General features: G+C 39.9%; 1 protein-coding gene across 2 annotated transcripts in view; it reads right to left on the bottom strand.

Moving 5' to 3' along the window:
- The window catches only part of GPC5 (glypican 5), a 1,468,617-nt gene that overhangs the window by 268,172 nt on the left and 1,184,932 nt on the right, over positions 1-15,513 (bottom strand). The window lies entirely within an intron of this gene.

Genomic DNA, 15,513 nt, shown 5'->3' with positions numbered 1-15,513 from the left:
CAATACAAGAAAATCTCTTGGATGATGATAATAATTGTGTCTATTATTAGACAGTACTAAATAGATACAGTGTCACAACTTTGGAATACTCTGCATTTGAGGTTAAAGGGTTTATTTTGTTGTTGTTTGTTTGTTTGTTTCAGACAGTCTCACACAAAGTAGCTGGGATTACAGGTGCCCACCACCACACCCAGCTAATTTTTGTATTCTTAGTAGAGACGAGTTTTCGCCATGTTGGTCAGGTTGGTCTCGAACTCCTGACCTCAGGGGATCCACCAGCCTCAGCCTCCCAAAGTGCTGAGATTACAGGCGTTTAAAGTCTTTCCTGGTATTAATCATTAGGTAGAAAGAGGATAAATTCTAAATTGTTTCCCCTTAACATGACAATTTGTTCGGTGTAAATTTATTTTGAAATGCTACTGAAATTTTTCTTTAAACTCGTTCCACATGAGACATTAAAAACAAACAGTAAATTCATGTTAAACTTGCCTTTATTTTTTACTATTTCATAGTTATCTAACATAGAATAAAAAGGGTTAAATAAGAGAGGATCAGAGCAACAAAAATCTTCATAATCTAGAAGATAAAGTTCCCATGAAAAACAAGTTGAAAAGCTTTTAAGGAGAGAAAAGCAACACATAAGGATATCAGAGTCAGATACAACGTAAAAAAAAAAATTTGATCTGACATTCCAAACACATGAAAAATTAGTGAGAGAAAATTAAAAATTAAAGCAACAAAACATATTCTGCTACAGTCCAACCTCCCTAGCAACAATTTGCATTCATATGCATTTTATATTCCATACCTTGACTGTGAAATTTAATTAAAATAATTATAAATACAGCTCCTTGAGGCTACTGAGGATTTCACAGTTTGAATCTTTACTTTTGAAACATTTTATTTTCATAAAATATCATGCATCACTAATGGTCTTGTCAGAATTTGTCTTCAGAAGAAATGACAACTCATCCAGTTCAAATACATCCAAGTAAGCTAAATTTAGATGGAATGACCTAGGAACCTTGACTCAGGGTTCAGTCAATATATAAAGTGAATAACTGAAAACTGTCCCTGTAGTTCCAAATTTGGCCTTGATATTCATTCATTTCAGATGGAAGCTCTCAAGGGAACACAGCAATAGAGCTATATTCAGCACTACTGAAGTGTTAATTCTGCAAGAAAATAAGTGGATGAACAGCAACAGAATGAATGAACGAATGAATGCATGCAAGCATGCCAGATGCCACAGTAAAAAGTATTTTAGGCATAGAGAAGGGCTAACATAAAGACAGATTCATTTATCCTATTAAGTTTTGGTTCCTATCTTTTCTCTGTCTTCTTTTGACCCCAAAGTAAGCTTGCATGCAAAAATGTCAATGAATAAAATGGATGCCTACACTAAAAATGCTATCTAGTTTGTTTCCTTGGCATTATTTGGAAAAATTGCAGTCCTTAGTTTTTCTTTGACATTATCTTAGATTTTCTGTGAAAAGGGGGAGAGCCTGATTCTGATTCCTCCACGCACCACCCAGAAGCACTCAGTAATTTTGTAGAAATGTAATTGATTTATTTTTGTTTACTTGATAAACTCAACACTTTAGCTGGGAGGATGTCAGACTTAAATGCAATTTTACAGTCTCTTCGAAGGATGCAGTTGGTCAAACATCATGTAGCTAAAGTATCCGTCTGGCTCCTGAATGTCTTCAGAACATGGAAGTGTGTGCCCTGGTTACATGTTTCTCCAAATGAGCATTAGGAATGTTTCCTTTTCTCTACATCCTTTTTAAAAAAAAAAAAAAATCCTGGCATTATGTACTGAACTCCAGAAGATGAGGATGTGGATGGTTGAGATATGCTTTTGCAACTTGGAATTAATAAAGGCAGATGCCAAATTCCTGAAAGCATTAAAAGAGTGAGACCTGACAATGCATGTTAAATCATTGTAAGCAGGATCCTAACAGAGTGTTTGTGATTCGTAAAATAAAAATTAAAAAATAAATAGTGTTCTGAGTTGCCTGGATATTTTACATCACTGTGAAGAGGGGGAAATTAATAACAAACAACGGAAGAACTTGTCTCTCCGTATCATAGCTGCAGAGCTGCTGGTCACCTTCAGGGCTGTGGATCTTGCCAAATAAGGTAGAAAATCTGTGTGCTTTCTGAGGACTCTTTAAGTTATTCAATTTTCTTTTAATGTCGTCACTAAACATGTATACAAAGAATTCATAAGGAGCCTGTTTTAGAATTAAATTATTTTATCAATATTATGACTTTAGAATTATACTGAATACAACCTGGCGCGGTGGCTGATGCCTGTAATCCCAACACTTTGGGAAGCCAAGGCAGGTGGATCACAAGGTCAAGAGATTGAGACCATCCTGGCCAACATGTTGAAACCCCATCTCCACTAACAATACAAAAATCAGCTGGGGGTGGTGGCGTGCGCATGTTGTCCCAGCTACTTGGGAGGCTGAGGCATAAGAATCGCTTGAACCCAGAAGCCAGAGGTTGCAGTGAGCCAACATTGTGCCACTGCACTCCAGCCTGGCGACAGAGTGAGACTCTGTCTCAAAATAATAATAATGATTATTATTATACTGAATATATATACACATATATGTATATATATAAACCTTGTATAAATGTATATTTAGGAGAAGATCTTCATTTTAGATTTTTCTAATATCTTAGTTGGGGCATATTATATGCCATCTGAATATTTAAACACGGTGTTTTATTTTTTGTTTATTTCTCACTTTATTTTGTGTTTACATCTTAGCAACGTTTCTTTCATTGCTTCCCAAAGTAAGTGATATTTTCTGAGAAATGAACATGGATGTCAGTGAAAAGAATAGAGGCCTGGAGTTTTAGTTTGGGGACTGCCACTAGTTAAATGTGCAGCCTTGTTTGCCACTTAAATTTTCTCAGTGAACAACATTTCTTCATCTGAAAAATTAAGAGGGTTAAATTATGTGATTCACGGTACTCAAACATCTCTATCTGAATGAGAATGCATGTATACACTTAGAAACAAGTATGAAATTTTTGTGCAAGAATAGCAAATAAGAGCAGTGACAAACAAGTGAACTAGATGAAATAAACTGACAAAAGTAACAATATATTTTCACATTGTCAACTTTGATTTTATGATGATTTTGATAGAGCTCAGGGGCAGGATTCTATTTTACAGTAAGCAAGAATGAGGTTCACTAAAAATATATAACTTTCTCGAAATTACCGAAAAGATTACTCCATAAAACAAAGTAAATACTATCTTTTTTTTTTTTTTTTTTTTGAGACAGAGTCTCGCTCTTTCGCCCAGGCTGGAGTGCAGTGGCGCGATCTCTGCTCACTGCAAGCTCCGCCTCCCGGGTTCACGCCATTCTCCTGCCTCAGCCTCCCAAGTAGCTGGGATTACAGGTGCCCGCCACCACGCCCGGCTAATTTTTTGTATTTTCAGTAGAGACGGGGTTTCACCGTGTTAGCCAGGATGGTCTCGATCTCCTGACCTCGTGATCCGCCTGCCTCGGCCTCCCAAAGTGCTGGGATTACAGGCGTGAGCCACCGCGCCCGGCCGTAAATACTATCTTTTGACTTCCAGAGAAGGTCTACGCACAACTCATAATTGTAGGTTTACATATGGTAGGCGACTCTTACTGCAAACATTGTTTATGACAATATAAGACATCAATAATAAGCTCATATAGTTGTGCATAAGTTCATGAGAGAATGATGTAGATGATCATTGACAGAATACTGGCTGATTTTATTGATCTCTGCATTGGCCTGGAGAGAATAGGTATTTGGTATGCTTTGATTTTAGATCCCTATTTAAACTTTGAAAAAGGGGGGCATAAAGCTTTCTCTGGTTAATTCTGAAGGTCTTCTATGACAGTTTACTTACAAAGAACAGTTAAGACGTGAACTTAATAATGAGGTGCAGAAAATATGGTAAAGCATCTGGATCTCTGCCTTCTTGAATCTAGGTAATGATTTGGAAAACTGAGATTTAAAAAAATGTATATGCCATCAAATATCATTAAACACCTAGAAGCATGTGTTGTTGAACCAGGTCTTATACTCACCACACTGGACCATATGTTTTCACATAAACACCTACTTAGCTACATTACAATAATATTTGTACACATTTTAATCACATCCAAATTACATAAAAACACAAATAATAAGATGTACTGGGTGAAGTAAAGCAGCGATGATTATGAGTGTTTGCATGTTAAGGGCCTCTTGTGTTTGACATAATATTCAATTTCAGGTTGGAAGTAGATAGGAATGGGGACGTTTCATTTCAAGTGATATTTTTTCTCCTTTTTTTGTAAACATGACAGAGTTCTTTAGCTAAATTTCAAGGAGGGCTTTTCCAAATACAGGAAGCAGCCTGAGACATGTTTCACCATTGGTTGCAGAAAAAATTGGATGGTGTCAACGACGAGAGGGTTAGCAAAGATGTAGAAGAGGAAATGGGTTATTGCTATAGGATCACAACCCTCAAAACTGAAGGTGAACTTTTTAGAATGTTTTACAGTGGGAGGGCACTGGTGTAGGCCTGGTAGCCATCTTTATGTAGGTAAAGCTGAGAAATAGACAAGGAAGTAGGGTAAGGACTGTCTTACCATTCATTAAAGAATTTTACTTAAAATCTCTCCATGTCAGTAAGGCACTGCACATTTGCTCTCACCTGTGTCTGCCATCCCCATGTTCAGAGCCTTTTAACCCCTTATCAAACCTTTCCAGAGAGTGACAGTCCCGTGCCTGCCTTCAATGAGCTGAGAAGTAAAGTGTGGTATCTGGTAGCTACTTAAAATACCTTCAATCAACCCTGTTTTTAGTTCCATTTCACACTCCTGGCATCTAAAGAAGCTGATTCTCCACTTTCTGAGCCTTCTTGGGGTTTAGCAGTAAATAGAATTATATCTTTCTGGCAATCTGGATATAGGGTTACATTTTACCTTCTCTGGCCTACTGAATCAGTTACTACCACTCCATTTGTTGCCAGATTGTAAAATTTTGTTAATGTGGGTTTTCCGCCTGTTGTTTCCTTGTCTACACTATTTGTTCTTGCAGTTTATGCCTTTAAAAAAATTCCATTACATACATTTTGTGGTGCTTTGAGAGGATGGGGAAATAAATGTATTTAAATGGTAGTTCTTCCCATTCTCTCTTTAATCCTCTCCAATCAGACTTTCATCCCTACAAATCCACTGAAATACCTTTGTCAAGGTTACGTCTTACTTGCCATTTCAGAGCATTTGATGCTGTTGATTGTCTCCTTCTTGAAACACTTTCTTTCTTTGACTTCTTAGACACATACACTATACAGGTGTTCATCTGATCAGTTGCATCTTCTTGGTCTCCTTCACCATGTCCTTCTTCTCAAGAAAGTCAGGGTACTTATGGGCTCTATTCTAGAACATCTTCTCTTCCCATTCTAAACGTACTTTCTGTTGATAAAATTCAGTCCTCTAATGCTGAATGCTATCTCTGCTGATGATTCCCGTATTTATCCTTCTAGCTCTGACATCTATCCTGAGCTCTTGATTGTTTTGTCTAACTGCCTACTTAACATGATTCTCTGGATGTCTCATAAACATTAACATTTTATGTTTCCAGAAAAAGAACTCTTGATACCCCACACTTCAACCTCCAATCTTCCTTATCTCAGTACATAGCATTGACACTCACTCAAAATTTACATACGCATCTCATCAGCAGTCTCCTTACTCCCTGCCTTCAAAATGTGTAACCCACATTGCAATCACGTTTCCACCATGGAACCAGCCACTGTCATGCACTCCTGCAAATATTGTCATCTTTTCTCCTTATGTCTCCCTTTTTTTCTCTACAGTCAGTTTTCAACAGACAGAGATGGTTCAAAAACTTAAATTAGTCACTTTATCCACCCATGCTTAAATCACCCCAAAGTGCTGAATCTCTCTGATCTGCTGTGTCTTGGCTACTCAGTTCATCCCCATCCCTCAACCTCATTCACTCCACTCTAGTCACTTCAGGCCACCATGGCCAGGGATCTATTCCCCAGCCAACATGAGGGGATGTCTTAACTGCACATCGCCCACTTCCTGCTGTAGTGAAAGTATCTCAACGCCTTTCCTTGGGGGAAGTCTGAAATACAGAAAGCTAGGGGCACGCATGAGGGCCACCGAAGCATGCACATCGCCCATCCCTCAACCTCACTCACTCAACTCTAGTATTGCAAGGAGCTGTCACACAGGCCATCTCGCTCTCCCTCCATTGAGCCATACTTGTTCCAATCTTCGGACTTTTTGTAATTACTATTTATCTCTGACCAGAAGGCACTCTTTGCTGCTTATGAACCACTCACTCCCTCATAACATGTAGGTATTATCTCTCAACTGGTACTTTACTTTCCTATCAGCAAATCTACCTTGTTTTCAGTCCCTTCATTTTTCTTCATGCCACTTATCATCTCCAGATAATCAACAGATTTGTTTATTTTCTATTTCTATTTCTCTTTCTTGAATGTAAGCTCCACAAAGGGTTAAGAATTTTTCTGTGGTCCTTACCACTCCATCCCCTGTACTTAGAACATTTGCCTGGCAGGGACTAGACATTTCTTGAATATAAGAAGGGTGAGAGAAGAAAAAAATGGAAGAGAGGAAAGCAGGAGGAAGACCTGCTTGTCTCCTTCTTGAAACACTTTCTTTCTTTGACTTCTTAGACACATACACTATACAGGTGTTCATCTGATCAGTTGCATCTTCTTGGTCTCCTTCACCATGTCCTTCTTCTCAAGAAAGTCAGGGTACTTATGGGCTCTATTCTAGAACATCTTCTCTTCCCATTCTCCAATCCACTCTCTCCAAACTTCAGCTAGGAGGGGATGTGGATGACTGAAATATAAGCGAAGGTTACATGGGTTGACAGGAGCAATGGTGGAATATGGTCTTTACACACTTGGTGTATTCTTTCATAAATCGATATAGAAGAGAACTCCACTGATGTGTGGCTTTCAAAGCCTGTCTTCAGTCCTTGCTTGACATAGATATATCAGCAGGCCTAGCATACTGCCAGCCACTTCAGGGAAAAGTGACCCTCAGCTGGAGTTAAGGGTGGACTCTCAGGTCAATGGCTTGGGTGAAGGGCTTAGCAGGTGCTCACATTTATTAACGAAGAGAGCTTCTTGGAGTTTGAGCCAGTTCGCTGCACTATCACTGCCTAAGACAAAGATCTCACTCATATAGAATCTGAAAAAGTTGATCTCATAGAAGTAGAGAGTAGAATGGCGGTTACCAATGGCTAGGGTGGTTGGGGGGTGGGGGAGTTGAGGAAAGGTTGGTCGAAGGATATATAATTATAGTTAGATAGGAGAAATGAATTCAAGGGCTCTTGTACACCATGGTGACTATAACTAATGATGATATATAGAATTCTTGAAAAATGCTAAGAGAGTGGATGTTAAATGTTCTCATCACAAAAATGACAACTATGTGTGGTAATCAATGTATTAACTAGCTAGATTTTACCATTTCACAATGAGCATACACTTCAAATATTATGTTGTACATGATAAATACATATAATTTTATATGTTAATTAAAAATACATTAAAAGTAAAACTTCACCAGGCAGAGACTGTAAACACAAACCAGAAGTGACAAAGCACCCAGGGTAGAAAAGGGCATTCCCCTAGAGTTGATGAGATACAGCCATAACTCACGCTGGAGGCAACAGAAGCCCAAGGTCCACGTTCCCTAATAGCGACACACATCAGGCTCCCCAGTCAATGTACCCAGTCATCTTACGGAGAAAAGCTTCTGGAGGGGAAACGAATCTTTGAGATGAGACATTTTTCCAAATCAGAGACTGAAGCTTCCTAAAAGCATGGTTTTAAGTATCTGATTGAACTGAGATGAACTGATTTAAACATTATTTTTTTCCCAATCAGCATATAAAGGTTGATGAAGGGGACATGAAAAGTTATTTTAATAATCTTACATTGTTTTAGCATTAAAATTTAATCCTTTTAAATTTTAAATTTTAGCATTAGTTGTCTTATGGGGTCCTGCTACATAGTTCTATATTTCATATGACTTGTACTGCTGAATCAGAACAGACACACAGAAAGGACAGGGCCAGGGCACATGCCTAGAAAGAGACTAACAGTGTTATCATACAATGAGAAAACCTACTGAACCATAAGCTCATAGCTATCTGGATAGGGAGAACTATTCAAAAGGGCTTATCTAAAGCAGATCTTGACAAATGGAAAGTGCTCAATAAATAAACTCAACAAGGAAACAAAACAATGAGTAGCAGTGTAGACGACTCAAGTGTCTGTTTCGGAGAGCAACACACACAATGTTGAACCTGCAATAACAACGTGGGCTGAGATCTTTATCATAAAACTTGAATTGACGGAGGAGTCCTCGGTTCCAGATATTTTGTAATCCAAAAGAAAATAGAAAGTGAATTCAGAAGGAATGTTTGAGTGAAGTGTCAACTGTCATGACTCAGCTCTGATAGCAGATTAAACCACCATGAGAAAAGCAGTGGGAAGAAACAAAGGAAGAGAGTAATGACATCCCCTTGAAGGTTTTGTTCAGAAAAGTTAATGTTGGGAAAGGTCTCCTGTGCGCAGTCTGTCAATTCTAGCTTAGCTGCATAGGAACGGGTTTTGGGCGTGGAACACTCCCTTTTCAATAGATAAACTGTCCTCACACAGCCTGTTCTGGGCTTGTTGCCTTGTGTAGGAACAGCTTTCCATGTTTCATTCTCGGTGTGTCCTCCTTTGTTCTTAAGTGCATGCTTCCATGGCCCTCATGCATGCCCCTAGCTTTCTGTATTTCAGATTCCCCGCAGGGAAAGGCGTTGAGGTACTTTCACTACAGCAGGAAGTGGGCTATGTGCAGTTAAGACATCCCCTCATGTTGGCTGGGGAATAGATCCCTGGCCATGGGGGCCTGAAGTATTGCAAGGAGCTGGATCTTGTGCATTCTCTCTCTCTTCTTGCTATAAACACTGCATCACTACTGCCTAGTGTGCACGTTGTCTGTTCCCAACAACCTCTAATTATGCACTCATCTCTTCCCTGGGTGGCACTCATCAACCTTTTAACCTTGGCCACACAGCCCGAACAACAAGCAGTGAACTAGTTAATTTGGTTCTTAGTACATGTATATTTTGTAATACCAGTGATTATCATTTCGATTGACTTAAGTAAGTAGGATTATACTTTACACATGTGAAACAATGATGAATGTCATATTTCTCTAGCATACAAAATACTAACTCTGAATCCTATGTGGACTTCTCTCTAGTTTAACTAATTTTATACAAGTAAAATAACTTGATTGGGTCACCACAGACCTGATTACCTTATTTGTTGTGACAATGAAACTGTTTATGGAATTTGGCAAAGCAATATTTAGAAAAGTAACTATTTGGGTTGGAGAATAACACAATGCCATGATCATAAAATCTCATGAATTATTCTTCTGCTCACTAACAATTTTATGATGTTTAGGAAGAATAAAACATTTTTTATGATTTTAAAATAAAAGAAATCATGATTTGATCAGAAATGTTGGGCATAATGGGGCAGGATCCAATTTTGGGGAATAAAGCTGGGGAATAAAATGGACCTTTGTGAATTAGAGAATATTGTCTCTAGCCTCAGGGATGAAAAACAACAGTAGAAAATCGCAGCACTATGAGTAAATGCATGATGCTTCCTTGCTGCACTGAACTCATGACTCTCAAGGTTTCAACTCAATCTTCTCATTTGAAAGAACAGGAGAAAAGGAATATTCTCTAGTCCTCCTCCAAGTTTTGGTACAGCCGGTAGATGGAAATCTTTCTAGTGTTACTCAAGGCTGCAAACAGCTTCATGGGAACAGAACATCGTTAGTGCTAATTTACTAGGACCTACCATGAACGCATTTGGTAACCAAAGTCAAGAAACATTTACTTCACTGAGTTGAAGAATGGTTCCTCTAGTACAGATACAAAGAAACTGCCACATGTTTTTCTTCCCTTGAGACATAACTCTGGAAAGCACCCCCCTCAACTTTACCTGAAGCCTCTCATTACTTGCACATTTTCTCCCAATGTTAGTGAGAGATTTCTATACACCTTGGTTAGGATGAGACTTCTACATAAAATGACTTCTACATAAAATTAGAAATCCAAGCAAAAATTGCTTTACAGATCAAAGCAGTATTTTTATTTGCTGTATGACCCAGGATGCCAACTGTATGGAACTAATACCTCCTCTATCAGGGACCGGGACAATTTTCAGATAATTATAAAAAACATGCTATTGTAGATAGTGGTGCAATAAACATACTCTCTAAGTTGTCTTATGGAGTCCTACTACATAGTTCTATATTTCATATGACTTGTACTGCTGAATTAGAACAGACACATAGAAAGGACAGGGCCAGGGCACATGCCTAGAAAGAGACTAACAGTGTTATTATATGATGAGAAAACCTGCTGAACAACAAGCTCATAGCTATCTGGATAGGGAGAGCTATTCAAAAGGGCTTATCTAAAGCAGATCTTCACAAATGGAAAGTGCTCAATAAATAAACTCAACAAGGAAACAAAACAGTGGGTAGCAGTGTAGATGACTCAAGTGTCTGTTTCAGAGAGCAACACACGCAGTGTTAAGGCTGCAATAAACATGTGCATTTTCTTTATAGTAGAATGATTTAGAATCCTTTGGGTATCCCATCAATGATAGACTGGATAAAGGAAATGTGGTACATTTACACCATGGAATACTATGCAGCCATAAAAAAGAATGAGTTCATGTCCTTTGCAGAGACATGGATGAAGCTGGAAACCATCATCCTTAGTAAACTAACACAGGAACAAAAAACCAAACACCGCATGTTCTCATTCATAAGTGGGAGTTGAACAATGAGAACACATGCACACAGGGAGGGGAACATCACACACCAGGGCCTGTTGGGGGCTGGAGGGAAAGGGGAGGGAGAGCATTAGGACAAATACCTAATGCATGTGGGGCTTAAAACCCAGATGATGGGTTGATAGGTGCAGCAAACCACCATGGCACATGTATACCTATGTAAAAAACCTGCATGTTCAGCACATGTATCCCAGAACTTAAAGTAACAAAAAAAAGAATAGGCCTTTCAAAAAAAAAACCCCAAAAAACCTGATCTATACCCAGTAATTCCAACCAGCATATTACACCTAACCACAGAGAATATGTAACACCACTCTGGAGGGTGGAGACGGGGTTTGAGAGCATGGCTGCCTCCAGGAGTGAATGCCCAGGAAGCTGAGCATTTACAGGGATCAGAATTACTGGCTGGAATGGTGATGGAAAGGCTGTATCTATATTTTTATTTTTCTTTTGTTAGCAAATCATAGGCTCAATAATTTTAAACATTAAATTTTTATTGAGACTAGACGATATGCTCTTTTCCTTACATAGCCATTCTCTCAAATATTCTTCTGCAGGAGTACCATAAATAATGTACAATAAGATTTTTCCCTTTTTCTTTTTAATTCTGTTTTAACAAAATATTGCCTGTTAGACAATGGGGTGGTATAATAAAAACCATCCTCACTTTGGAGACAGACGATTAAGGTTCAAGTCCTGGCTATGACATTTACTTGTAAACCTTGAGAGAGTCACATAATTCCATGAATTTTCATTGCATATTAAAATGAAAGAATACTAATTCCCATGTACCTCCAGAGCTTTGTAAGGATAAATTAAAACATAATATGTGTTATCATTTATAATTTTGTAGATTTACAAATGTAAGTAGTTATTAACTTTCTTTATATTTTAGTTCTTTATATAGAATGCCAATTCATACTACTGAAGGAAAACAGGGAAAATAGAATTTTTCTTCCATTTTTTTAATACAAGATATGATGGTCAACATTTTACTTAGGAGTACAATAACAGTTATCTTCTCAAACCATATGTATTTACTAACTCTCAACTAGTTAGGAGATGCTGATGGAGATGTTTTTGATCGATGGTTCAAGAAGAAAATAGCTCATTAAGTAAAACTGTGTTCCTGTGTATGTAGTGTGTGTGCGTGTGTGTGTGTGCGCGTGTGTGTGTGTGTGTATGCAAGAGAGAAAGACATATATACAAGTGTACTGTGATGTCTTCAAGAACTGGTTTAGAAATGCTGAAAGCTCTAGGGAACTCTGTAAGCCCCAGGAGTTGGTACTGGCCTTGCTGATAGAGAATGGTCATGCTTGACCTCTTTCACCTTCATTTCCGTTTCTCTCCTAGCCCTCTGCTCCCAGGGCACTTGGAGAAATTGCGTTTCTCTCCTGTAAGATCTTTAGGGGCAGGGCAGGACTGTGTCATATTCACAACCATCTATTTGGCACCTACCCTGGCATCAGTACAGATTGGCCACCCATAAATGTGAAGCTTAACTAAGTAAAGCTGAGCTCACTGGGTGTTTTTCTTCAGTCGTCTTTGTTGATTCCACTTACTCTGTTCATTGCTCCAGTTCATTCTGCACACTGACGCCAAAGTGGCTGCTTAAATGCAAAATTTCATCAGGACAACCCATGGCTAAAAACCCAACTTCACATGCTAGGCTTCCAGGCTTTTCATTACCTAAATGCAGCCTGCTTTACTGGACCTATTTATCACATTCTTGTTCTCACATGCTATGCTTTCTGTTCATATTGTGGGTACTTGCAATTCTAAGAATAGTGCATGGTCTTTTATTTCTCTGGATATCTGCACATGCTATGCCTTATGCATGAATATCTTTCAGCCTCACCTATGAGAATTCACTCTTCACTTCAGAATTTCTTCAGAAATTTCCTTGCAGTTTCTCTAACCATAATGTTTTCAGGGAACACACTGGAAAATATTTGGCAAGCTTGACACCATTCTGTCTTCTCATATTGAAAGCAGACACGACTAATCCGTCACTACAGTCTTCACGAGTTGCATGTTCACAATACATTTAAGCACCCATTACCAAATATTAGCATCAGCATATAAACTAAGCTCTGTAAACCTAGCCAGGCGTATTAGTCAGTTTTCATGCTGCTCATGAAGACATACCCAAGCCTGGGCAATTTACAAAAGAAAGAGGTTTAACTGGACTTACAGTTGCACTTGGCTGGGGAAGTCTCACAATCATGGCAGATGGCAAGGATGAACAAGTCATGTCTTATGTGAATGGCAGCAGGCAAAGAGAGAGCTTGTGCAGGACAACTCCCCCTTACCATCAGATCTTGTGAGACTTACTCACTATCATGAGAACAGCACAGGAAAGACCTGACCCCATGATTCAATTACCTGCCACCACATCCCTCTCACAACACGTGGGAATTCAAGATGAAATTTGGATGGGGACACAGCCAAACCATATTATTCTGTCCTGGCCCCTCCCAAATCTCATGTCCTCACATTTCAAAGTCAATCATGCCTTCCCAACGGTCCCAGAAAGTCTTATCTCATTGCAGCATTACTCAAAAGCCTATAGTCCAAAGTCTCATCTGAGACAAGGCAATTCCCTTCCTCCCATGAGCCTGTAAAATCAAAAGCAAGTTAGCTACCTTCTAGATACAACGTGGGTACAAGCACTGGATAAATACCGCCATTCCAAATGGGAGGCATTGGCTGAAACAAAGGGGCTACAGGCCCCACGCAAGTCCAAATTCCAGCAAAGCAGTCAAATCTTCAAGCTCTGAAATGATCTCCTTTGACTCCATGTCTCACATCCAGGTCATGCTGATGCAAGATGTGGGTTCCCATGGTCTTGGGCACCTCCACCCCTGTGGCTTTGCTGGGTATAGCCTCCATCTTGGGTGTTTCCATGGGCTAGTGTTGAGTGTCTGTGGCTTTTCCAGGCGCATGGTACAAGCTGACAGTGGATCTACCATTCTGGGGTCTGAAGGATAGTGGCCCTCTTCTCATAGCACCACTAGATGGTGCCCCAGGAGGGACTCTGTGTGGGGTCTCTGACCCCACATTTCCCTTTCACACTGCTCTAGCGGAAGTTCTCCATGAGCCCCCCCTTACCCCCTCCACCAGCAAACTTTTGCCTAGGCATCCAGGCGTTTTTATACATCTTCTGAAATCTAGGTGGAGGTTCCCAAACCTCAATTCTTGACTTCTGTGCACCTGCAGGCTCGACACCATGTGGAAGCTGCCAAGGCTTCGGGCTTCCACCTTCTGAAGCAACAGCCCAAGCTGTACGTTGGCCCCTTTTAGTCATGGCTGGAGTGACTGGGATTCAGGGTACCAAGTTCCTAGACTGCATGCCACACAGGGACCCTAGGCCTGGCCCAGGAAACCATTTTCTCCTATGCCTCTGGGCCTGTGATGAAAGGGCTGCCATGAAGACCTCTGACATCCCCTGGAGACATTGTCCCCATTGTCTTGGGGATTAACATTCGCCTCCTAGTTACTTATGCAAATTTCTGCAGCTAGCTTCAATTTCTCTTCAGAAAATGGATTTTCTTTTCTATCATATTGTCAGGCTGCAAATTTTCTGACCTTTTATGTTCTGCTTCCCTTATAAAACTGAGTGCCTTTAACAGCACCCAAGTCACCTCTTGAATGCTTTGCTGCTTATAAATGTCTTTTGCCAGATACCCTAAATCATCTGTCTCAAGTTCAAAGCTCCACAGATCTCTAGGGCAGGGGCAAAATCCTGCAAGTCTTTTTGCTAAAACATAGCAAGAGTCACCTTTGCTCCATTTTCCAAGAAGTTCCTCATCTCCATCTGAGACCACATCAGCCCGGACCTTATTGTCCATATCACTATCAGGCTTTTGGTTAAAGCCATTCAGCAAGTCTCTAGGAGGTTCCAAACTTTCCCACATTTTCCTGTCTTCTTCTGAGCTCTCCAAACTGTTCCAACCCCTGCCTGTTATCCAGTTCCAAAGTTGCTTCCATATTTTGGAGTATTTTTTTCAGTAATGCCCCACTCTACTGGTACCAATGTACTGTATTAGTCCCTTTTCACGCTGCTGATAAAGACATATCTAAAATTGGGCAATTCACAAAAGAAAGAGGTTTCATTGGACTTACAGTTCCGTGTGGCTGGGGAAGCCTCACAATCATGGTGGAAGGCAAGGAGGAGCAAGTCACATCTTACGTGGATGGCAGCAGGCAGAGAGAGAGCTTGTGCAGGGAAACTCCCCCTTATAATGACCATCAGATCCTGTGAGACTTACTATCATGAGAACAACACAGGAAAGACCTGCCCTCATGATTCAATTACCTGCCACGAGGTCCCTCCCACAACACTTGGGAATTCAAGATGAGATTTGAAAGGGGACACAGCCAAACCATATCACTGGGTTTGAGAAGATAAGAGGAAACTATTCCAGAACTTATTCTTCTGGATAGCTTCTTGCCTGGTGACCTCAGACTGCATGTGTGCTTCACAGGCACAAGCTCCTCTCAAGATGGCCCTTTCCTTACAACTGTCTCATGCTGGGTTCCAGAAACTCCTCTTCTAGCCTATTCCAGCCTAGAGA

The sequence above is a fragment of the Homo sapiens genome, chromosome 13 (genome assembly GCF_000001405.40).
Source record: "Homo sapiens chromosome 13, GRCh38.p14 Primary Assembly".
Lineage (NCBI taxonomy): Eukaryota > Metazoa > Chordata > Mammalia > Primates > Hominidae > Homo > Homo sapiens.
Note: the sequence above shows the minus strand (reverse complement) of the source record. Positions and strands in the feature narration are given on the sequence as shown.